This window comes from Homo sapiens, chromosome 10, assembly GCF_000001405.40.
Source record: "Homo sapiens chromosome 10, GRCh38.p14 Primary Assembly".
NCBI lineage: Eukaryota > Metazoa > Chordata > Mammalia > Primates > Hominidae > Homo > Homo sapiens.
Window position 1 is genome coordinate 127,250,908 of NC_000010.11, and position 24,465 is coordinate 127,275,372.

Below are 24,465 nucleotides of genomic sequence, written 5' to 3' on the forward strand. Positions count from 1 at the left end.
AAAATGTGTTTCTGTTTGTTAACTATACCGAGTATATGACTGTTTTTCAACTCTGACAACGATTTTTTTTTTGAGACAGAGTTTCACTCTTGTTGCCCAGGCTGGAGTACAATGGTGCAATCTCGGCTCACCACAACCTCCTCCTCCAGGGTTCAAGCGATTCTCCTGCTTCAGCCTCCCGAGTAGCTGGGATTACAGGCATGCACCACCACACCCGGCTAATTTTTTTTGTATTTTTTAGTAGAGATGGGGTTTCTCTATGTTGGTCAGGCTGGTCTCCAACTCCCAACCTCAGGTGATCCTCCCGCCTCGGCCTCCCAAATGGCCTCCCAAAGTGCTGGGATTACAGGCATGAGCCACCACGCCCGGCTTACTCTGACAACTATTAAATAAAAGATTATTTTGTACAGAATTATTTGATGTTATTTCGTATTTCAATATGAAAGTGGCCAAAACACTTTCCATTTTTTTTTAAATTTTATTATTATTATACTTTAAGTTTTAGTGTACATGTGCACAATGTGCAGGTTAGTTACATATGTATACATGTGCCATGCTGGTGTGCTGCACCCAATAACTCGTCATTTAGAATTAGGTATAACTCCTAATGCTATCCCTCCCCCCTCCCCCCACCCCACAAGAGACCCCAGAGTGTGATGTTCCCCTTCCTGTGTCCATGTGTTCTCATTGTTCAATTCCCACCTATGAGTGAGAACATGCGGTGTTTGGTTTTTTGTCCTTGCAATAGTTTACTGAGAATGATGATTTCCAATTTCATCCATGTCCCTACAAAGGACATGAACTCATCCTTTTTTATGGCTGCATAGTATTCCATGGTGTATATGTGCCACATTTTCTTAATCCAGTCTATCATTGTTGGGCATTTGGGTTGGTTCCAAGTCTTTGCTATTGTGAATAGTGCCACAATAAACATACGTGTGCATGTGTCTTTATAGCAGCATGATTTATAGTCCTTTGGGTATATACCCAGTAATGGGATGGCTGGGTCAAATGGTATTTCTAGTTCTAGATCCCTGAGGATCTAGAAGCCACACTGACTTCCACATTGGTTGAACTAGTTTACAGTCCCACCAACAGTGTAAAAGTGTTCCTATTTCTCCACATCCTCTCCAACACCTGTTGTTTCCTGACTTTTTAATGATTGCCATTCTAACTGGTGTGAGATGGTATCTCATTGTGGTTTTGATTTGCATTTCTCTGATGGCCAGTGATGGTGAGCATTTTTTCATGTGTTTTTTGGCTGCATAAATGTCTTCTTTTGAGAAGTGTCTGTTCATGTCCTTCGCCCACTTTTTGATGGGGTTGTTTGTTTTTTTCTTTTAAATTTGTTTGAGTTCATTGTAGATTCTGGATATTAGCCCTTTGTCAGATGAGTAGGTTGCAAAAATTTTCTCCCATTTTTTAGGTTGCCTTTTCACTCTGATGGTAGTTTCTTTTGCTGTGCAGAAGCTCTTTAGTTTAATTAGATCCCATTTGTCAATTTTGGCTTTTGTTGCCATTGCTTTTGGTGTTTTAGACATGAAGTCCTTGCCCATGCCTATGTCCTGAATGGTAATGCCTAGGTTTTCTTCTAGGGTTTTTATGGTTTTAGGTCTAATGTTTAAGTCTTTAATCCATCTTGAATTAATTTTTGTATAAGGTGTAAGGAAGGGTTCCAGTTTCAGCTTTCTACATATGGCTAGCCAGTTTTCCCAGCACCATTTATTAAATAGGGAATCCTTTCCCCATTGCTTGTTTTTCTCAGGTTTGTCAAAGATCAGGTAGTTGTAGATATGTGGTGTTATTTCTGAGGGCTCTGTTCTGTTCCATTGATCTATATCTCTGTTTTGGTACCAGTACCATGCTGTTTTGGTTACTGTAGCCTTGTAGTGTAGTTTGAAGTCAGGTAGTGTGATGCCTCCAGCTTTGTTCTTTTGGCTTAGGATTGATTTGGCGATGCGGGCTCTTTTTTGGTTCTATTTTCTTGAGACTATTTCCTTTTAACAAGTACTAATTCAGGTTCTCAAATTTAGCCCTTTTTGGTTGAGTGAGTCATTTTCATACAAAATCACACTTACTATCAACACCAGTGACAGTGAGCATATAGAGCACAAGCGGAATGACTGATCCAGAAGAGAAAAACAATAGACATGTTCAGCTCAGAACTCTGAGGACAGAGACCATCCCAACCCTTTTGGATTCGAACCACAAAGAATCTGTAGAATCTTCTACACTGGAGATGCTGACCTGCCCAAGGGGCTGCTGGCTGCCACGTGTCCACGTCTCAGTAACAGAAGCAGAGAATGTGCCCCGATTCTCTGTAGTTAGCTAGAAGGGAACAATGACGGCTTTGGTACTTCTAGCGGAGAATGTTGTCTTGCCACTTGTCACAAATTCCCACTCTGTGGCTTTGGAAAACACACTACATTTTCCTACACTCTCACACTTCTGTGACCAGAAGTGTGTGGGTCTCTCCCACCGCATCCCATTCCCTGACACCAGCTGGATGTCCTACAATTCAATTCAATTCTGACACCATCTACCTGGAGTTAGCATCAGATTCTGCAAGGAAAAGGGCTTATCTGACCTTACTCAGATTTCACCAGTGTTTTACTTATTCTCTTTCCACTGTGGATCACAAAAAATTTTACAAATACAGAAAAGCTGAAAGAATAATACAATGGAGCCAGGCTCAGTGGCTCATGCCTGTAATCCCAGCACTTTGGGAGGTCGAAGCAGAAAGATCTATTGAGCCCAGAAATTCAAGACCAGCCTGTGCCACATAGTGAGACCCCATTTCTACAAAAAATATAAAAAAATAGCCAGGTATGATAGCTTATGCCTGTAGTCTCAGCTACTTGGGAGGCTGAGGCAGGAGGATCACTTTAGCCTAGGAGTTTGAGGCTGCGGTGAGCTAAGATTATGCCACTGCACTCCAGCCTGGGTGATAGCATGAGACCCTGTCTCAAAAAAAAAAAAAAAAAAAGGAAACCATGATTCCTGCCACCTCAATTCATCCGTTGAAAGCACGTTGGCATATTTGCTTCCGTCATGTGTCTCCAAGTGTCTCTATCTATACAGCCAACCCCTTTCAGTCAGTGAGAGACAGGGATGCACCTGCCCTAAGCTGTTCAGCAAACGTCTCTGGGGACTAAAGACATTCTCTATTGGTCATATTGCTCCATGAGAATTCAGCAACAACCCCTCATGCCATTTGTATTCAGATTTCCTCCATTCTTTCCAAATTTTTTTGTCCTTTTCACGCATTGCATTTGATGATTGTGTCTCTTTAATCTTTCTTTTTCTAAAATAAATCCATCACCATCACACTGTTTTATTTTCTTTTCATAGCATTGCTTTTCAGTTTTTTTGAAGAGACCAATCCATTAGCTTTTGTAGACTATCTCCCATTCTGGACTTTTTTTGTGCTGCCTTGTAATATGCCTTTCGACTGGTTTCTTTATCCCCCTGTATGTTCTGCAAACCAGAAGCTTGTTCTGAGATTCAAGCTCAACTCCTTGGCAAGAGTGTTTCAGCATTGCTGTCGAAAGCTTCCTGCTGTGTTACTTCAGGAAGTAACACAGGAAGTGGGCTTGTCATGCTGACCCACTACTGGCGATGCTGAATTTCACCACTGGGTTCAAAGCTGGTAACTTCCAGATCCCTCCATTGTGAAAGTATGTACCTCTTCCTACCTTTGCAATTGTCAGATAATCTTTGGATAAAACTTTGAATCCACAAAAATGTGGCCATGTCCTATTTCCCTAACAATCCTTCATCGGATGGGTTGAAAATCTGTGGCTGGTCCTTGTCCATAATGGTTACTCCTTTGGCTGAGCAGAATGGAAATTTCCTAAGTCTAAGAGTGAAGATGCTTTGTCTTTAGTCTAAGAGCATTGGGAAGCCATTGGGGAAATGGGTTCAGTGTGATGTCTGGAAAGCATTGATGCCTTGATGAGATTTGTCATTTGAAAAGTGAAGCATGGGGACAAGAAAGGACAAGGATGGACCTAAGTTGATGGATTTGGAGTCCCCTGTGGCAGTCCAGGTGCGAGAGGATGGCTGTTTTATTCTAGTGGGTGGGCACAGGGATGGAAAGGTGCAGACAGAGGTATGACACGATTTTGCCTCTGAAGCAGATGGATGGCTGCTATTAGAGCAGCCTGCTTATTGTATAAGACATCCTGTGAATAGTCAAACTAAAACATGCAGCCGGGCACAGTGGCTTACACCTGTAATCCCAACACTTTGGGAGGCCGAGGCAGGAGGATTCCTTGAGCCCAGGAGTTCAAGACCAGCCTGGGTAATATAGCAAGATGCCATTTCTACTAAAAATAAAAAAACTAGCCAGGCATGGTGATGCACACCTGTGGTCCCAGGATACTCAGGATACTGAAACGGGAGGATCACTTGGGTCCCAGGGTTGAAGCTACAGTGAACTAAGATCGTGCCACTGTACTCCAGCCTGGGTGAGGGAATGAAATAAATAAATAAAATAAATAGAAACTAAAACAAAAAATGCAACAGGAATAAATCCACATTGAATGATGAAATTTTCACAAAATATCCCTTGTTGACTTGGAGACCCTAGTGGAACAGTCCGGTAAGCCTCATCAGCTGCTCAAGGCAAACACAGTTGTTAGGGGCCACCGCCATGGCTAGTGAATTATGCAGAAAACAAGGACGCCTTGCAGAACCTCATCTCCCACTAGATGCAGCATTTTGTTTGATCAGCAAAGTACCAAAATTTAACAGCTGAGCCATACTAATGAAGTATGGGACTGTGTCTCTTAGAAAAGAAAGAGAATTGGGAAAATATGCTTCTCTTCCAGAATAATAAAAACGAGAGGCTGTAGCTCAATTATTAGGCTTTGAGAAGTAATCATCAAGAAAGCCAGCAATTTCATGCAAATAGAGATGTGACTGAATTACGGTACTCAGCCTACAAAATATGCAGCCTGGTCGTTAAAATGGGAAACTCTTGACAAAGTGAGGAAACTCAGTAGTGAAATATGAATTTCAATAATTAAACTGGAAAAGAAGCCATTTGTTGTGTCGGAAGGGAGGACTGGGATGCTCCCGCTCCTGAGAGCAGGTGGACACAGTGCCCACGTACAGAGTTTGGAGGACATCTGGACTGACTTTTCCAACTTGATTTTGTCTGGGTCACTAATGTCTCCTAGACTGGAGGCATCTGCTCTAATAGAGTGATCAGGATCACTCATTTTATTTATGGTGGGGGCACACCAAACTCCTCACACTACAGACTTCACCTGCTAGGACCTGACTTTGCCATTAGAGTTGGAGAGAAAGTATCTTAACTTTGAACATTAGCTTGTTAGTGTCATCAATTTTAACTTGTGCCTCTTTGCAGGAGCTGCTTATTTAGAACTTCGTACTGGGAATTGCTTTCTTGGCTGCTTAAATTCTGTTCACCACCTTGGCCTTCACAGCCATTGCACCTAATTATGATTCAGGAGATTAAATAAATGAGAAATATCCACTCATTTGGCAATCCCTGACCATGGCCTCATTTTTCTAAGACAGTTCTCGGTTGTCTTTTCATTTCCTACCTTGAGTGTTGAGTGAGCTTGGGGCTACCAGGGATGTGTGCTTTTTGGGATAGCCACTTGTTTTGTTCAGGTTAGCTCAGAGCACCTGTCAAGCTCTGGAAAGTAGGAAACCTTCTAATTCTGATAGACACATACTGGAGTCCCTAGGAACCGGCTACCCCTTCCTGATGTCAGGCACATTCCATGGAAGCAGGGTAGAGCAGCTGGGTGTGTACGGAACCCTGCTTCTTTTCAGTTGCCCTGCGAAGTACACAGCATCATCTAAGACATCAGAAGCATAACTCGGTAGCTTTTGGGGATGTAGCTGCCATCTAGGAGAGTTTGGCAACACGGCTGCACACTCAAATGGTTTATTGCATGCCAAATCTGTGCAGATGGTCAGGAGTACCTGTTGGAGCCTTTCGTTTTGAAATTCCGTAAGAGAAAGGAACAGACAGTAGTATCCCGTATTCAATCTGATGTGTCCTGTTCATCATGAAAAATTGATTTAGAGCAAACATAAGAAAAAGCTGTAACCTGCAAGCCTTGTTTGTTAAAATCATGTTTTCCTAGAAGCAGAAAGGGCTTGAATGCCTATTCCTAACCTTTGGGGATTTACTCTTTAACTATTAGAGAGACATGCTCAGGGACTGTTTCAGAATATATTCTTGAAGAAGCCGTCTCAGACAGGAGGTGCTCAGGTAAACAGAAAGACAGGTCTAATTCACAGCTCCTATGAAATATATCTTCATTACTTTTCAGGATGTGTTCATTCAGCCTTTAAAATGGGGTATTTTATAATCTAATTGACAGGAGGGTATCATGTTTACCTTTTTCTTTGTGGGCCATTTCAGTGTTTTGTTTTTTTATTTCAGGATTTCCTAATGGAAACATTCATCATGTTTAAGAACCTCATTGGAAAGAACGTTTACCCCTTCGACTGGGTGATCATGAACATGGTGCAAAATAAGTAAGTGTGGGGAAAACGGCTCTCACCTTTTCTATGGCTCCCAATTCATGTCTGCTGGGAACAGTGGTGTTGCCTGGAGACCAAGCTGGCTTCAATAAAATGCTCTGCAAACGCTGTTCCTAATTCTGTGCTGCAGACAGTTCTAGGGAGACAGGGACTCTGAGTTTGTGGTGACTTCCTTATGACAACACAGGGCTCTGGCTCTAAGAACTTGAGCTCCGTCCCCTGGAGAAAAACAGCCTGAAGCTGGATCTCCCCTAGCTGTCATCATGGGCACAGGGGTTCTGCTCGACGTCGCTCTGCGCTCTCATGTTACCCACATATTTGTATCAGCCCTAGGCACTGTCAGCTCCATGCAAGAGGCTTTTGCAAAGTGTTGACATTTCACATATTTCAGTTTTTTTAATCATGAGCATTTTCTTCATACTCATTAAATATTGAACTTGTGCCTTGTTTATAATCTCCAGTGAGGGCTGTTGGTTAATTTTCTAGCACATTGGGTTTTATCATTTCTGTAAGCACTAACAATGACCATAGAATTCTCAATCACGTGGGATTTTTAAAAAGAACTTTCTGTTCATCTCTGTTTTTCTTTCTCATTGCAATTTTTATGGAGATAATTGTGGGTTCATGTGCAGTTGTAGGAAGTCATAGAGATCTTGTGTATAAGGGAGTCGATGATGCGATTCACTGATCTTACTCAGATTTCCTCAGTTTAATTTGTATTCATTAGTGTTTGTGTTGAGTTGTGTAGTTTCAGCACATGCATATACTGTGGACTCCACCACCACCGTGAAGCCACTGAGTGTTTCCATCACCACAAATGTTCCTCTTGTTGCCCAATTATACCCACATATACCTCTCCCCTCCCCACTCCACCATCCGTAAGCTCTCTCGACCACTCATTCGTTCTTCATTTGTATAATTGCTTCATTTCAAAAATGTTACATAAGTGTAATCATACAGTATATAAGCTTTCAGCATGGCTGTTTTCACTTTGCTTAATTCACTGGAGATCCATTTAGGTTGTTGCCTGTATCAATAGCTTATTCCTTTTTATTGCTGGGTAGTGTCCCATGGTACGCCTGGACCAAGTGTGATGAACCATTTTCCTGTTGAAGGACGTCTGGGCTATCCCCAGTTTGTGGCTCTTACGAATAAAGCTGCCACCAGCCTTCGTGCATCAGTTTTTGGGTGAACATGAGTTCGGTTCTGTGGCATAAATGCCTTCCTGGACAAATGCTGGCTTGTTGGGTAATTGCACATTTCGTGACGTAGGAAACTGCCAATCTATGGCTGTACCATTTTACGTTCCCACCAGCCATGTAAGTGATTCGGTTGCTCCGCATCCAGCCTTTGCCGTTGACACTGTTTTTGCTTTTAGCCATGCTGATAGGTGTGTAGTGTATCTCCCTAGGATGTTAAATTGAATTTCCTGTGATGGCTTTGCCTCTCTTTAATGCCTATTGTCCTTCCCTTCGACAAATCCAAAGCAGCACGACCTTTCCTTTGGCCTCCTCTGGGTTTTTCTGCTTTCTGGGGCAGCAGAGACAGATTGGCCTTGTGTACCGTGGCTGCGGGAGTCCTACAAACCTCCCCGAGGGGTAAGCATGAGGGAGGGAGTGATGTTCACCCCGCGTCAGATGTTACTGAGCTGGAAGTCTCCTTCCACACATCAAAGATGGCATCTGAGAGTAGATGGTGAGGAAGCCCCGGAGACCCTGGCATTGCTGTAGCCTTAGCTCTGGCCCGGGGAGCAGAGTGGGGGTCTTGACCTCTGCTCCTCCTCACTCTTCCACCTGCTGGGTGACTTTAAATTATTCCTGTGGCCTTCTCTCAGCTTCTCAGTCGTCATCTAGAAAATGGTGGACTTAATAGAAAGCACTGGTCTTTTCCCTTTTTCTCTGTTAGGATGAACTTTTGTGATTGACAGTCTAGATTTCCTCTGAAGAGCTCTAGAGCGTTGTGTCTTTAATGGCTGTATTTTGCACATAGTGAAAACAAGCAAACACATCAGCAACAATAATCAAAAACCCCGCTGTCCTGGAGCCATAGATCTCATGACATCATTGGCCAGGAGCAGAGGTGTGGCTGAGCAGGCGCCTGAGCACAGGGTGTGGAGGCGGCCCGTGTGGATGCTGCTCTCCACCTCTTGACTCCTCTACGTGTAGACCTGACCTTCTGGGTCTCCCAGCAGAGCAGCACGTCCTGGCTCTCAGGCTGTGGATTCCGTGGCCCTGGGTGAGCACTGCTCTGACAAAGGTCAGGCGGGATGGGCTCCCTGAAGTTGCATTCATGTCGCTCCTACTCCGAGGGTCTCCCGTTTAGGAGGGAATAGTCAAAATCTACTTAGTTCATGATTTTTTTTTTTTTTTTTTATAATTGAGAGCCTGTTTTCAGTTGGAACATCATAGCCGCATCATTCTCTCTTCCTACTTCACTGTCTTCCTCCTGCCGCCAACCCTGCGCTACGTAAGGGTTGCTGCAGCACTGGCCGTGATGCAAAGCCACACAGTAAGTGGTCTGGGGCTCAACCCTGGGAGTGCTATGGTTCTGGTTTCCTTCTCCAGAGACCCTGTCCAGCTTCTCCTGGGATATTCTGTTGTTTCTGGGGTGAGCAGGTGGCTTGATCCACATTCCTTGGAATCATGAATTTGCTGCAAACCAGTGGCAACCTTCCCTGGCCAGCACCCCTACTCACTAGAGCCCCTTCACAGGGTATGGCGCCTGACAGAGGTACCCGCGCTGCAGCAGCAGGTTGGTACAGTGGCATTTTGGACCAAAGCCTTTGCGTCTTAGAAACCGGGAAGAGAGTCTTTTGTTTTGAGGACAGGGAAACTCTGGGGAGAAGCCACAGTGCTCAGTGTCCTCTCAGCAGTTGATTGGATGAGACTTCTGAGGATAAAGTCTACCTTGGTGATAATAAAGTCCACCTTGTTCTCTTGTTCATCGTGTACACGGACTGCAGCTGGAAAGACGTCTTGACAAGGGAAGCAGCCTGAATGTAAAATCCCTACAGTTTATTTTCTGTTTTACATAAAATGTTATCCTGAACCTTCTAATCAAGGATTCCAGTACTGTGAGGCCAGGTCGTTGAGCAGTGTTTCCTCCATGGGAGCTTCCTGCAGAGAAGTGATGTGTGCCTGTGTGTGTACCCATGCTCATCTGTGTGTGTACCTGCATGTGTGTGCATGTGGGTGTGCGTGTGTGTACCCGTGCTCATCTGTGTGTGTCCCTGCATGTGTGTGCATGTGGGTGTGTGTGTACTCGTGCTCATCTGTGTGTCCTTGCATGTGTGTGCGTGTGGGTGTGCATGTGTGTACCCGTGCTCATCTGTGTGTGTGCATGTGGGTGTGTGTGTGTACCCGTGCTCATCTGTGTGTCCCTGCATGTGTGTGCATGGGTGTGCGTGTGTGTACCCGTGCTCATCTGTGTGTGTGCATGTGTGTGTGTGTGTACCCGTGCTCATCTGTGTACCTGCACGTGTGTGCATGTGGGTGTGTGTGTGTACCCGTGCTCATCTGTGTGTGTGCATGTGGGTGTGTGTGTGTGTACCCGTGCTCATGTGTGTGTACCTGCATGTGTGTGCATGTGGGTGTCTGTATGTGTGTACCCGTGCTCATGTGTGTGTGCATGTGGGTGTGTGTGTACCTGTGCTCATCTGTGTGTGTACCTGCATGTGTGTGCATGTGTGTGTGCCTGCATGTGTGTGCGTGTGTACCCGTGCTCATCTGTGTGTGTCCCTGCATGTGTGTGCATGCGGGTGTGTGTGTGTACCTGCATGTGTGTGCATGTGGGTGTGCGTGTGTGTACCTGCATGTGTGTGCATGTGGGTGTGTGTGTGTGCCTGCATGTGTGTGCATGTGGGTGTGTGTGTGTGTGCCTGCATGTGTGTGCATGTGGGTGTGCGTGTGTGTACCCGTGCTCATCTGTGTGTGTGCATGTGGGTGTGTGTGTACCTGCATGTGTGTGCATGTGGGTGTGTGTGTACCCATGCTCATCTGTGTGTGTACCTGCATGTGTGTGCGTGTGTGTGTGCCTGCATGTACCCGTGCTCATCTGTGTGTGTGCATGTGGGTGTGTGTGTACCTGCATGTGTGTGCATGTGGGTGTGTGTGTACCCGTGCTCATCTGTGTGTGTACCTGCATGTGTGTGCATGTGGGTGTGTGCCTGCATGTACCCGTGCTCATCTGTGTGTGTGCATGTGTACCTGCATGTGTGTGCATGTGGGTGTGTGTGTACCTGCATGTGTGTGCATGTGGGTGTGCGTGTACCTGCATGTGTGTGCATGTGGGTGTGCGTGTGTGTACCCGTGCTCATCTGTGTGTGTGCATGTGGGTGTGTGTGTGTGTACCTGCATGTGTGTGCATGTGGGTGTGGGTGTGTACCTGCATTGTGTGCATGTGGGTGTGCGTGTGTGTACCTGCATGTGGGTGTGCGTGTGTGTACCCGTGCTCATCTGTGTGTGTGCATGTGTGTGTGTACCCGTGCTCATCTGTGTGCATGTGGGTGTGTGTGTGTGTACCCGTGCTCCTCTGTGTGCATGTGGGTGTGTGTGTGTACCCATGCTCATCTGTTTGTGTACCTGCATGTGTGTGCATGTGTGTGTGTGTGTGTACCTGTGCTCTTCTGTGTGTGTGCATGTGGGTGTGTGTGTGTACCCGTGCTCCTCTGTGTGCATGTGGGTGTGTGTGTGTGTACCCGTGCTCGTCTGTGTGTGTACCTGTATGTGTGTGCATGTGGGTGTGTGTGTGTGTGTACCCGTGCTCATCTGTGTGTGTGCGTGTGTGTGTGTGTGTACCCGTGCTCATCTGTGTGTGTACCTGCATGTGTGTGCATGTGGCTGTGTGTGTGTACCTGTGTGCTGAGGTGTTGGTTTCAAGTAAAGACACTTTTATTTGCAGAGATTCTTACTCTCAGAAGCTCAAACAAACCCATATTCCTATCCCAGTTGACACATTCAGCAGAAACAAGCTCCCAAGCCCACACAGCACAAGAGTCAGCCACCGAGGAGGCATTTTAGGTCCTGATTGGAGTTGGTCACTGATAACTGTAACTTTTATTCCCACATCCTTCTGCCCCCATATGCTGCCCTTTGTGTTGAATAAACAACATGAATGTTTAGAAGCTGGATCAGGTGGGTTTTTGAAGAAGGTTATTGCCTTCATGTGGTAAGATACTTGAAACTGTCTGGAGACAGCTTGTTGAGAGACCCTTAAGTATTCTTTGACACCTTTGCTTCAATACCAGCTTCAAAATGAAGGGTTTGCATCACTTTCCCTGTACATTCCCATTCTTTGTGAGGCATTGCACGTTTGCGTTCTGGAGCTGAGAGTGAGCTAACATTGGGCATGCCTCCCAGCACCAGGCACTGCTGTGGGGATGTCACGTGCCATCACGTCCTTCATACCCTCAGCAGCCCTCTGGGACAGCTGCTGTGTTTAGGCCCACTTTACACATGGGAAAATTGAGGCATGGAGGTTGGGTCACGTGCCAAAAGACAGAGAGCTGGGCGGTGTTAGTGCCAAAATTTAACCCCAGAGCATCCACCCCAGAGCCGTGCCTGAGCCACCTAGCTACCCTGCCTCTTGGTCTTAAGTAGGTCTCCTATTTCCCAAGAGAGTGTTAGGAGTTTTTGTTTTGTCTTTATTCGAGTGTCCATAAAACATAACAACTTTTCCACAAGGTTTACTGCTTACGTGAGTGAATTTTGAGTGTGGAATTCATTACATTGCTACTTACTTTCTTCACCTTTAGAAGTGTATGCACCATTTATCAATGTGTTTTATAAGAGCGAATCTTACTGTGCAGTCTAGAAAAATCACGTCTCCCTAGCATTGTCATAAAGTAATCCTCTTATGGAAATTGCAGATACCATATTCTATGTCTTTATCTACCTGCCATATATGTGTATATATAGATTGCCTCTTACTAGATTGGTGATATAACTTGTAAATCAAGAATCAAAATTACAGGATTTAATGACTATCCCAAAGTACGGTGTTCACTTGGTTATGTCCAAGATGGGAACTGATAGGCGATGGCCTGACATTATAGCTGTGCTCTAGGATATGAGAGTACCAGATGGCAAGATGACATTTAAGATGAGCACAGCACAGAAACAGTAGAAGTGTGCTTTTGTGCTAGCACCCAGAAGTGCTTTATAATCTTCCCAGAGGGGAGCAGCTGCTAAGGTTTCACTGAAGCTCTCAGGTTCTGTTGGAAGCACAGACCTTTCCCTGTTGGCACCTACATGCTGGTATCCATCCTGGAACTCTTATTAGCTGACTTGCTCGGATTCACGCTTTGTGTGTGCAGCATAGTCTAAATGGCCAGCAATCATACCATGGCTATCATAGAATTCTCCTTGGTTGTTAATGAGAATGTGACCACTTGCTTGAATTTTTGTGTCTCTTCTAGTCTTAGGGTTTGCCTTCGTGCTCCAGTAGGGTGCTTGAGTTTATGTACTAATAACCCCTACTAGAATTTTAAGTGATAGGAATGACCTGGTAGGAAGTGAGTCTGCCAGGTAAACCGAATCCCTTTGTCACCTCGAAGAAACCGTTTCTTATTAACTGCTTTACTTTTGCTTGAGAAAGGCATTTCTACAACATGTGGTGGGTGAGAGAGAGGCCAGTACTGAATGTAATTTTCCCTATTTTGGAATTAGACTTTCTTGTTCGTATTGACTACATAGCGTGTAACAAAACCTTATCCACAGTTGTCAGCTACTGAGACTTGTAACGGAATTTTTAAAAATTCAACTACTCCAGCTCACAGCTTCCCTAGTCCTCCCTGCCTACTGTACCCTCTGCTCTCAGGATAATAAAGACATGAAACCAGCATTTGCATTTCCTCAGAGCTAGTGTAGTTTGCAACTGTGATTATCAATCGCTTCCAGGCATTCCTCTCTGTTGGCATAGGTTTTGTGTTTGAGACTTCCTGTTCTTTTTCAGGCTAGGCTGGGACCTACGGGAAATAATGATTAGTGTTTTGAAGCCCACACACTTTCATAGAGGACTTGGTATGTCTTGCAAGTAAAGGTTCATATAACATGAATATAAAATAGAATATGTAAAATTGTAGAGAAAACGATGCTTTCTAGAAGTTGAAATACTCAAAGCTGACTGCAGGATAAAACATAAAGGCAAATAAGACGGTTGCCGGGTTCTCACTGGTTGGTGAAAATGATCCTTGCCATTTATCACGGGAAGCTGGCAGTTTACAATGTAGATTTTTTTTTTTTCCAAGACAGGGTCTCACTCTGTTGTCCAGGCTGGAGTGCAGTGGCAGGATCATGGCTCACTGCAGCCTTTAACTACTGGGTTCAAGCAATCCTCCCAGCTGAGCTTCCCAGGTAGCTGGGACTACCGACACATACCACCGTGCCCAGCTAATTTTTTGTGGGTTTATTTTCTTGGAGAGATGGGGTTTCGCCATATGGCGCAGGCTGGTCTCGAACTCCTGGGCTCAAGTGATCCACCCGCCTTGTCCTCCCAAAGTGCTGGGATTACAGGCATGAGCCACCACACCCGGCCATGATGTAGATCTTTATATAGGAGACACTGAACAGGAGAAGATCATAGGGAAGGAATCAGTTGAGAATTCAAAATTCTGCCCATAGAAAACAGAAGAGATTATTCTCTCAGTTAGGAAATGCGTAAGATGTTACCAGTCAGCATGTTGGTTATAACAGTGGTTGGTTATAATTGGACTTGTCTGAAAGACTAGCTCATCAAATGAAGGGGATTTAGCTGACCTGATCCATTCAGTCTTGTCTAGTCGTTGACCATTTCAACATCAGAGATTGTCAGTCAAAAACTATTGTTTGGTTTTGTTCTATCTGCAATCAATTAATCTTATACTTGTCCTTTCAAACTTTGAAATTTCATCCCGATTTGGAGTTTGTGAGATCATGTTGCTATTTATTTCCAGTGTCTGTGTGTTACACATTAAAAAAAAAAAATCATGGCCATATGGAGACCATCCCAAACAGATCAGGATGATGCTTGCAGTCTGCAAAGGATGGAGGATTTTGATCTCTTGACCTCATTTTGACAACCACCTTGGCTCATTTCTCTGTGGCCTCTCCTCCTCTCCCCATGATTCATCCTTCTTTCAACCAGGAAGTGTTTTCCTCAATCCATTGACGTAGCATATTACATTTTCACCAGCCTGCCATATATGATGTCTATGGACACCTCATAATCACATGCAGCTCCTTTCATGAGGAAAATCGTCCATGCTTATTTCTGTAACTTAACAATTTCTCCCTTTTTAAATAGAATGCATTTCCTCACTTATAAGTATTATCTACCAGATGTATCAGAGTCCAGGATGGCAAGCTCTCTGCTATTTCTGCCAAAATTAATTTGGCTTATAGTCAGGACAGGAAAGGGCCTTAAGCCCTAGAAAGGGATTCCACCTTGGAGATGCCAGTTCCTTAAGGATAAGTCGTGTTGGTGCTCAGAAGGCAAATTTGCAGGGTAGGCTGTTTGTAGGTACTTTGCCATTTGCTTTCGTTGCCGTGAAGGAATTTGAGTCGTTGACCACACTGAGCTGAGGGCTTGGATCAGGGGAAAGGCACCGCTTGCCTTAGGATGGGAGAGAGGGAAAAATTAGTGCCCACGTGCAGGGGGCCTGCCCCCAGGACCATGGCACCAGTGGCAACCTGTGGATGGCCAAGTCAGGAGGACTGCGTGTTTTCTTTCCTGTTCTACCTCCGTCCAGAGAAGCACCTCTGCATCCCAATTAAGGGTGCATAGTTGAATATTCTTTGTGCAGGTTGAAATCATGGTTATAAAGCATTTGGGGCTTGAGAAACTCTTGGATTATTACTTCTTAACATCTTTTTTCCTTTCTTTGAAGCCTGGATTTTAGTTGATGTTGTGACTTCTCATTTAATTTATTTTTAATATTTATTGGCTTACTATTGAGGTTTTGCACAGCCAATGGCTTGATGATTTTAGGCACACTTTAGAATTATTTTTTTCCTTTGAAACAGTATACAGCAGTTGTTGACAGCAAAACACAACTAGCTAAGTACCAAAACACACACACACACACACACACACACATATATATAGACTGTACTGACTATACATTTTGCTTTGCACTGAGAGATGTTTCATGCATAAAATAGAGAGGGCACTTGGCTTTGGTCCTCATAACATGAAGTGCCTCCTCTGGCATTAAGTGCCAGTGGAATGTGGCATTAACGCCAGCCAGGTGCTCACGATGAGATGTGCATGGTCTCTGAGAATTTGGGGTGAAAAAAATAGCAATTGAAACTCAGTATAGTGAAAACATTCTGGAATGAAGATTTCCCTAGAGTTCTCCATACCTGCATTTTACTACAGCTCATGCACTTAATAATATTGCTCTTTGAGCCTTCTTCCTCTCCAAGAAAACTGGCCTAACCTGAGACATTTCACAGCCCAGAGTCCCCAGTTTGCAGGCACCAGGGCCACAGTTCTCCTTCCTAGGCTGGTTAACTTGGGCTGTACCTGAGTGCATTTCTGGCAAGTCACCCAGAGAAACACATGAGACTTTTCTGGGGGCTGTGTTGGCCATTGTGATGCATCAGGATTTCAAGACAGATACTGACTTGGATCCAGTAATGATGCTCTGGACCCTCCAGCAGGAAAAGGACCCCACTGGGGCTACATTGCTATGTCTATCATTTTAGTTTTATCTCCAGAGGTTGCTTTTAGAGGGGACACAGGGACATTGGCAGTTCTCTCTCAGCAGCTTTTGGGCCTAGATATGGTTGCAGATGGTGTATCAGAGCCCACTGCACCTTGGGATGGAAACTGACCTACGACCAAATGCTACCTGTTCGAGTTCTGTTCATTCTTAAGGCCTAGTCATAAATTATTTCAGATACTTTCCATAACAGTTATTCTATTTCATGTCTGCTTTTGCTCTTTGCTTAATAACTAAAACAAATAATTTCCAGAGTTTTACCTGGTTGTTTATAACCAATGTATTGCACATAGCCTAGATATTTTAAACTGTGTCGTCTTATTCAGATTGCCTGTTTTAAATTTTAATTCAGAGATGAAAAATCAACCTACTCTCAAAGGAGTGGCAGTGATGAAGAGCTCTCAGCAGGACTCTTATTTAGGGAAGCTTGCTTTAAAGGAAAGTTTGAAAAGGGCAAAGTCTGTTTAAGAATTCTCAGAGATCACGCGCACCTCGTCGGGAGTGCCTGGCTGGTACTGATGCCGCATCCCGCTGGCACTTAATGCCGGAGGAGGCACTTCATGTTACGAGGACCGAAGCCAAGTGCCCTCTCTATTTTATGCATGAAACATCTCTCCGCACAAAGCAAAATGGAGGAGATACACTTTATTATGATCCTCCTCCCGGTCCTCTCATGCTAAGTTTTAACCTCCTGTGCTACTGGGACTTGGAAGAAGGTCTGTGCAGTATAGGACCCTCTGGTGTGGTGCTTTTACGTCTAGAACAGGAGGAAGAGGCAGCCAAGTGAACTGAGTCCTCGCAGGCTTGCCAGGCTGTGTCTTCCGTGTCTTTTTGATAGTTCTCAATGAAGGACAGTTGTTTCCCCTAGAGGAAAATCGACAATGTCCAGACACGTTGTTGTCACAACTTGGGAAGAGAGGGCTGCTGGCATTTAGTGGGTAGAAACCAGGGATGCTACTAAACATCTTTTCATGCACGAGACAGCCCCCTGCCGCAAAGAGTCATTTCATCCATAATGTCACTAGTGTCTCCATGTGATAGATGAAAAAACAGAGTCCAGAGTCTCAGTGATGCTCAGTAACTGTTAGAAATACATAGAAATATGTGTGCAGTGGCTCATGCCTGTAATCCCAGCACTTTGGGAGGCCGAGGGAGTTCGAGACCAGCCTGACCAATATGGTGAAACCCTGTCTGTACTAAAAATACAAAAAAAAATCAGCCAGGCATGGTGGCATGTGCATGTAGCCCCAGCTACTCAGGAGGCTGAGACAGGAGAATTCCTTCAACCCAGGAGGCGGAGGTTGCAGTGAGCCGAGATCGTGCCACTGCACTCCATCCAGCCTGGGTGACAGACCGAGACTCCACCTCAAAAAAAAAAAAAAAAAAAGAAGAGGAAAGAAAGAAAGAAATATATGTGATTTATTGCAGTGACTCTCTTCTCCTTGTTTCCCCATTTCTCAGCCACCCTTCTCTGCCATGTGACCTCAGCCAAACCAGCGCCCTCTAGAACAAATAATAGCAGCTAGCTGCTGAAGATAGGACTGGTCTTCACTTATTAGGGGGGTGTCCGAGAATTGGAGGTGGTTTCCCCAAGTCGCTCTGCCAGGGGCTCCAGTGTCTTTGCAGGAGATTTTTGTGGGCTTTGATTTGGGGTGGTGTTTGGGAGCAAGATGGCATTGGAATCACAGTGACATGAATGTACATGCCAGGGCTGCCTCCAGTCCTGCCTGGCATGTGGGACACACGTTGAAAATATTAGCAAGAGCCTGTTCTCAGGGTGCTTGGGCTGCCAGCCTCTACACCCCAATTCTGCCGAGCCTGGGGTGAAAGAGTAGCCACAGGCCTTTCCTCTCTACCTCTCCCAGCCAGAGGCCACCTTCAGTACAAGGGTTGGAAGCTGAGCCCTGGAGTCAGTTTGTCAGGTCAAATCCGTGCTCCACCACTTATGAGCTTTGTAAATTTAGTGTTGGGCAGATTTACCCCGTGCTGTAGTTTCTTCACCCGTAAATTAGAGACAGAAGTCAAGCCTCGCTGGAGTGTTTTGGGGGAATAAATGAGAAAGCGCATGTGGGGTGCTTTGTTCAGAGCCTGACCTCCAGTGACCTTGCAACAAGCCATGTCTGTGACCCCCTCCATTTTTATGAAGATGACATGATAGTGTGTCATTGTCCCTCTGAATCTGAGAATTGAGCCCACAGGTAAGGGTGTGAAGCATAGACATTGCCCTGGAGATTCAGAGCACTTTGTACATGTATTGAGAAATTACATTATAAAAAAATACAATTCTTTGCTTTCATAGATTCACTCTCTTCTTGTGAGGATATTTGTATATATTCAAATTGCGGTTTCCCTTGATTTATAGGTAATTAAGTCAACCCATTTTGCTTGCTGTTTTCCTAGAAGCAGCATTTGTGAATTGCTTTATGTGACATGGCTGACACTCTGTCAAGCATAGGTCTTGTGCAGTTGTCTCTGTTCAGAAGCCAGTCACCAAAATGGTGGTCCTGTCTGCCCTGGCATCTTGGAAGGACAGAGCTGCAGTCCCCAGAGAGGATCCTGTGTTGTCCCTCATGTGCAGATGAGGTTCTGAGATTCAGGGGGGTTGAATGAGTGGCTCCGGGCCCCCTGTGTGAGTAGCAGGAGAGACTGCAGAACTGGTTGCTCTTAAGCCACATCCAAGGCCAGGCACATAAAATGTGGACAGTGACGCCCACCACCCATGCAGTCCTTGGGAAGCCCCGTTGGCATAACGAGAATAGAGAGCTTGACGAGGAGGTCCTCAGTGAATGAATGCCAGCTCCTGACCACGCTCAGTTTTGGTAACAGTAAGTGGCACTGTCTACAGAGCCTCTCAGGAACCGGGGACTCCACCTGCCTCCTCTCCTTCTCCCACCCTCAGAGCCAATCATACACAGGACCCAGTGGATAGGACTGGAGTTCCGGAAGCCAGCTCCCCAGCGCCTCCTCCGAGCTGCCATCCTTCTCTCCTGTGGCAGGGGTGTCTTCCTCTGAAATCAGTGTCCATCTCAGTCCTGGCCGCACCTCCACAGGCTCCCGATGTCTGGCAAGAAAAGCTAAGCAGGGACTTCCAAACGTGTTTGAACAAAACTCCAATGAAGAAAAACATTTCCAATCACTGCTCGATGCACTTCCCACCCCCATCAAGGTGTAACTCAGCGAGAATTCCTTACTGTGCAGAGCCCTCCGATGTTTTTATTCTGTTCTGTTCTGTTCTATTCCATCCCATCCATTCTATCCCTTTTCACTTAATAAGTAAATAAATACAATTTCACATTCTTCCCATTCTATTGATTTCGTGCTCCACTGAATGAATCACAGCTGATGCCAGCCTGTGCCACCCAGCACAGAAAATGCCACATGGCTGACTTTCCTCCCTCCCTCCCTCCCTCTCTTCCTTCCTTCCTTCCTCTTTCCCAGTGTCCTTGCCTGTGTGTGGCGTGGTCATTATTTTTCATTTTAGCCATTCTCATGGATGTGCAGTGGTGTGTAGGCAGGGGAGCTGTGTGTCTTCAGCTTCTGTAGGAGCTGCCAACTTCCTTTCCAACAAGACTTCAGAGAAGGCTTCACTGCTGTCCAGAGTTGTTCATTCTACCTTTTTACACGTCCCTGTCCCCCAAGCAGTGTTCATGTTGCTATGCAGCCTCAGTCATACTTTGTAACATCAGACTGATTTTTCTTTATCCAGTCTGGTGGTGTGTAGTGAGATTGTGTTAAACTCGCCTTTCCTTAATATCTGATTAGGTTGAGCACATTTTTATTTTTGAGAAATTATCATTATTTTCTCTTGTATTCAAGACTCTTGTCCCTTTTTTCTATGCTTAACAAAAGTTATATATGTGTGTATGTGTGTGTGTGTGTGTATGTATATATACACACACACACATATATAAATGTATCTGTGTTCTAGATAAGATCCTTGGGTCAGGTATCTGTGCTGTAGATATCTTTCTCCACTCAGTGACTGCAGGATTTTTTTTTTGTCACTTAATAGTGTTCTTTGTTGGATGACATTTAAAATGTCTTTTGAAGACACTTGCAGAAAGAACCTGAATGGACTCACCTGCTGGTGACTGTCTGGGTAGCAAGGCTCAGCATGCTTGCTATGTGGAAGCTTCACGAAATGCCGTTTAAAAAATAAAATTATCTTCAAAACCAAACATGCAATTCCACCATTCTTTGTCAAGCTCCTGCTATTTTTTCAACACGAAATTGGAAATAAAGTTGAATAATATACTTTCTCCATCTTCAAGAAAGCCTGACTGTGATATACTTAAATTTTTAAAAATTCACTTATGTAATACATCTTCAGGTCTATAAAAAAATGATAATGTTTAATTGTAATTTTTCCATGGAACCGAAATGTTAACAGCATTGTGACATTTTCTATACATTGTTTTTCATGCAAGACCCTTCTGTGTGGCACTTAATATTTGTCATGTGCGATTTTGTGCATTTGTGCATGGGTCTTTGGCACTGGGGGGGATATCTCTTCTGAACATTTCAGTGGCTGCACTGTACACTGTCCCATTACCCAACACACAGTAGGTGCTCAACAGGCAGTGACTGTGTAACTGCTGGGCTGAAAGAAGGTGTATCCCTAGGAAATGTTCTAGGAACAAAGTGAACCAATAAAATACATGAAATACTTTTGTAGCAGTTCATTTTGGAGAATAAAAGGCAGTTACTCTTTTTATATTTGAGTCCACAAAGAAACAATTGCAGCTATAAATATGCAGTGAACAAATACCTCTTATTCTCTTTAAGATCTATTAGCCAGAGCTAATTCCTTAATTGAATGTTGTTCTAAATTTACCACCAAAATGCATGAGGGCGATCTGTGTTTGTACGTTTCAGCCAACTGCATGACATCAGTTCCATCACAACTGCAGGAGGATGGAGGAAGGCTGCTGTGCACGATTACTTGCTGTTTTGTGGTCAACCTTTCCCATAAGACTTCAGAGAAGGTTTTTACTTAATACTGTACCTGTCAAATTCCCAGAGCTGCAAGTAAATTGAAGATACAAATTATGTTGTAAAGTGAAATATTTTGTGTTATTCGCGTTATTCTGCAGTTTGGTTGATTTAGGAAGAAAATGAACTCTGACAGCTTGATCTTTTCAGTTCAGTGGATTCTAATGTTTCAAAACAAAAGACCTGCACTGAAGCCTCTTTCCTCCATGCTTTGGCAGAGACACCACTGTGAGCTCTTCTTCATGCTCAAACCTCGGCAGCTACCGGCTCCATGTCATGGACACACAGAGTCCTAGGAAGAGATAGATTCTGCTAAATGCTAATGTTTGTAAATATAAATATTAACCATACCCCGAAAGGGAAGGAGTTCTTTTGCTGGCTGACTGAATGGGTAGCTTTTAGCACCTGCCACTTTTCTCAACATGCAATCTATTTTTTATAGACAGAAAAAATCTCTTTTTCTAGCTTTTCTGGTTTGCTGCTGTTGCCTCAGTGATATTGCTTGGGATGCAGAGGTTTGGCAAAGAGGTTGGAGGAGCACCCCTGCATTAGTCCGTGTTCACGCTGCTGATAAAGACATACTTGAGACTGGGCAATTTACAAAAGAAAGAGTTTATTGGACTTACAGTTCTATGTGGCTTGGGAGGCCTCACCATCATGGCAGAAGGTGAAGGGCATGTCTCACACGGTGGCAGACAAGAGAAGAGAGCTTGTGCATGGAAACTCTTCTTTTTAAAACCCTCAGATCTTGTGAGACATTCACTATCAAGAGGAACAGCACGAAAGACCTGCCCCCATGATTCAATTACTTCCCACCAGGTCCCTCCCACAACATGTGGGAATTCAAGATGAGATTTGGGTGGGGACACAGGTCCCTCCCACAACACGTGGGAATTCAAGATGAGATTTGGGTGGGGACACAGCCAAACCATATCAACCACCTTTCCTCTTCTGTTCTGTGGTTATGCTAGACGGCCTCACCTTCTTTTCTTATTCTTATTCAGGGGAAAACACTAAAGTGAAGTTTCCTGCAAGAGCCAGAAAATCCTAAGTTAACAAATTGAATTCTGCAACTGAGATGCAGTGGGTGGATGTAGGGCTGGGCTCCTTGGACCGAGGCTGAACCATAAATACCTCCCACTTTGGTATTGCTTTGAGGAGCTTCCCAGCATTCACCCTTCACCCTTTTGCTGTGTGCCTTCCTTTACCTTAGCTAAGGAAGTCTAGGCAGCTGTGCAGGATTTGATAGGTGGCAGCTTTAGCTCAGACTCTGGAAGTTCCCTGCTCCCTGCTAACTCCAAGCTGGCTCCTTGCAGCTGTCCCCAGTGTCCCTTGGACTATGGGGCCAGGCATCTGATTTGATTCTTCAAACTGAATGTTACTGCTTCTACTTTATTTAAGTAAATGGCCATCTCATTGCCATCTGATGCTGTAGCATACTGTGCGAAAGGTATTTTGAATTAGCTGTTAGCAGCTGGGTGCGGTGGCTCACACCTGTAATCCCAGCATTTTGGGAGGCTGAGGTGGCCAGATTGCCTGAGCTCAGAAGCTTGAGACAAGCCTGGGCAACACGACGCAACCCCATCTCTACTAAAAGTAAAAAAAGTTAGCCGGGTGCGATGGCAGGCACCTGTAGTCCAGCTACTTGGGAGGCTGAGACAGGAGAATTGCTTCAACCTGGGTCGCAGAGGTTGCAGTGAGCGGAGATTGCGCCGCTGCACTCCAGCCTGGGTTACAGAGGAGACTGTCTCAAAAAAAAAAAAAAATAGCTATTAGCCTGCAGATGATTTGGATATGGGACCTAAAAAGCAAGCTGATTAATTGATAGATGTATTTATTTATGATATTCAGCCTGAGAATTAAGCTGGATTTAGAATAAAGTGTTTCTTATGAGATACGCTTGGGGGTAAACATGATCTGCATGTAATTCACAGGTCCTGGCATTTCAGAGCAGTATTCAAATGCATGTCTGCCATGGACTGTGAGCTCCCAAAAAAAGTGCATGATGAAGTGAGTTTCGAATACTGACAGAAACGGTAGAGAAAGGGCATGTCCTGGTCCTGGCTACCGTTGATATTCTGCTTGGAGCTTGGATTTGGGGTTGTGTTTTAGCTTAAAGAAACCATATATACCTCCAATGAGAAAGAGACTTTTGGGTGAAGAGGGACTGGAGGGAACCCATGGAACAGAACAAAGGCTGGGCTTACGGTGATAGCCCGCATTCATTTAGAGATGGAAAGTTGCTGGAAACTTTAAAACAGAGCACTGCTGTCACTGCCTGATGTTTTTCAGGGACTGTTTGGGCCACTGTGCAGAGCACAGGGAGTAGGAGATTTGTGTGCAAACTGGAGGGCCAGCGAGAGCCCTGGGGATAAGCTACACCAGCGATGGCCATGTCTTTGGCTAAGGTAGTCATTGGGAAGAGGGAAACAATGAGAGATTTGGGGCATGTTTTGCAGGCCACATGAACCTGTACAAACTAGATGTAAGAAGTGAAGAAAAATGAACAATCAAGGAAAAGTCTTAATATTTTTGGCTTGAGCCAAAAGTGATTGGTGGAAAGTTTAAAGATAAAGAAGCGGGCTTGCGAGGTGGGAGTGTTCCCGAGCTCTGTTTTGGCCTAGCGCAGTGTTTCTCAACCCTGTTTATTTTTTTTCCCATTATGACCCTCCTAAGGAGAGAAGTAAATTCACTTTAATTAAGAAGAGAAATTTAATGCTAAGGAATAAGAATTTGTGGGGTAGGGTGTGCTTTGGAGGACCACAAGCAGAATAATATCTAAAATGTTCTTTACCCTCCTCCCAAGAATCAATTTCACCCCCTTAGTGGAGATGTTTCCCCCAGTGTGGATGTGTGGCCTGGTTAATTCTCAGGTGCCCAGGAGGTGGCCCAATAGAGAAGTTTAGCTAGCAACTGGAAATTCTACACTGACGTTCAGAAGAAAGGTAAGGCTAGAAGGTACAATTTGGGATTTAGATGATGATATTCAGGCCACCTGGGGGGCAGTGTCTCTAGGGAAGAGAAGCCGACCCAGGCTAATGCCTCAGGGCTCTTTGATATCTAGGGGTTTAGCAGTGGAAGATAAGTCAGCAAAGGAGACCAAGAGCAGGAGTCAGTAATAGGAAGAAAAAAAAAAACACAGGAGAGAGAAGACAGTGCTGAATTTCTGAGAGAGAGCATAGAAATTAACAGAGAAGTAACCAAAGGATTTGGCCACATAGTGGTCACTGCTCCCATGGACCAGA

General features: G+C 44.7%; 1 protein-coding gene across 21 annotated transcripts in view; it reads left to right on the top strand.

Moving 5' to 3' along the window:
• The window catches only part of DOCK1 (dedicator of cytokinesis 1), a 547,089-nt gene that overhangs the window by 345,480 nt on the left and 177,144 nt on the right, over positions 1 to 24,465 (top strand). For 17 of the 21 annotated variants that reach the window (XR_007061946.1, NM_001377544.1, NM_001290223.2 and 14 more), the window contains one exon: positions 6,428 to 6,522. Coding sequence is in view for 20 of the 21 variants with exons in the window: in NM_001377544.1 (NP_001364473.1) it covers positions 6,428 to 6,522 (95 nt within the window). In the remaining variant the exon portion in view is untranslated. Of the gene's footprint in view, positions 1 to 6,427; positions 6,523 to 21,103; positions 21,278 to 24,465 lie in introns of those variants that run through there. The other 4 variants (NM_001377561.1, XM_047424701.1, XM_017015814.2 and 1 more) reach the window with 1 other exon arrangement.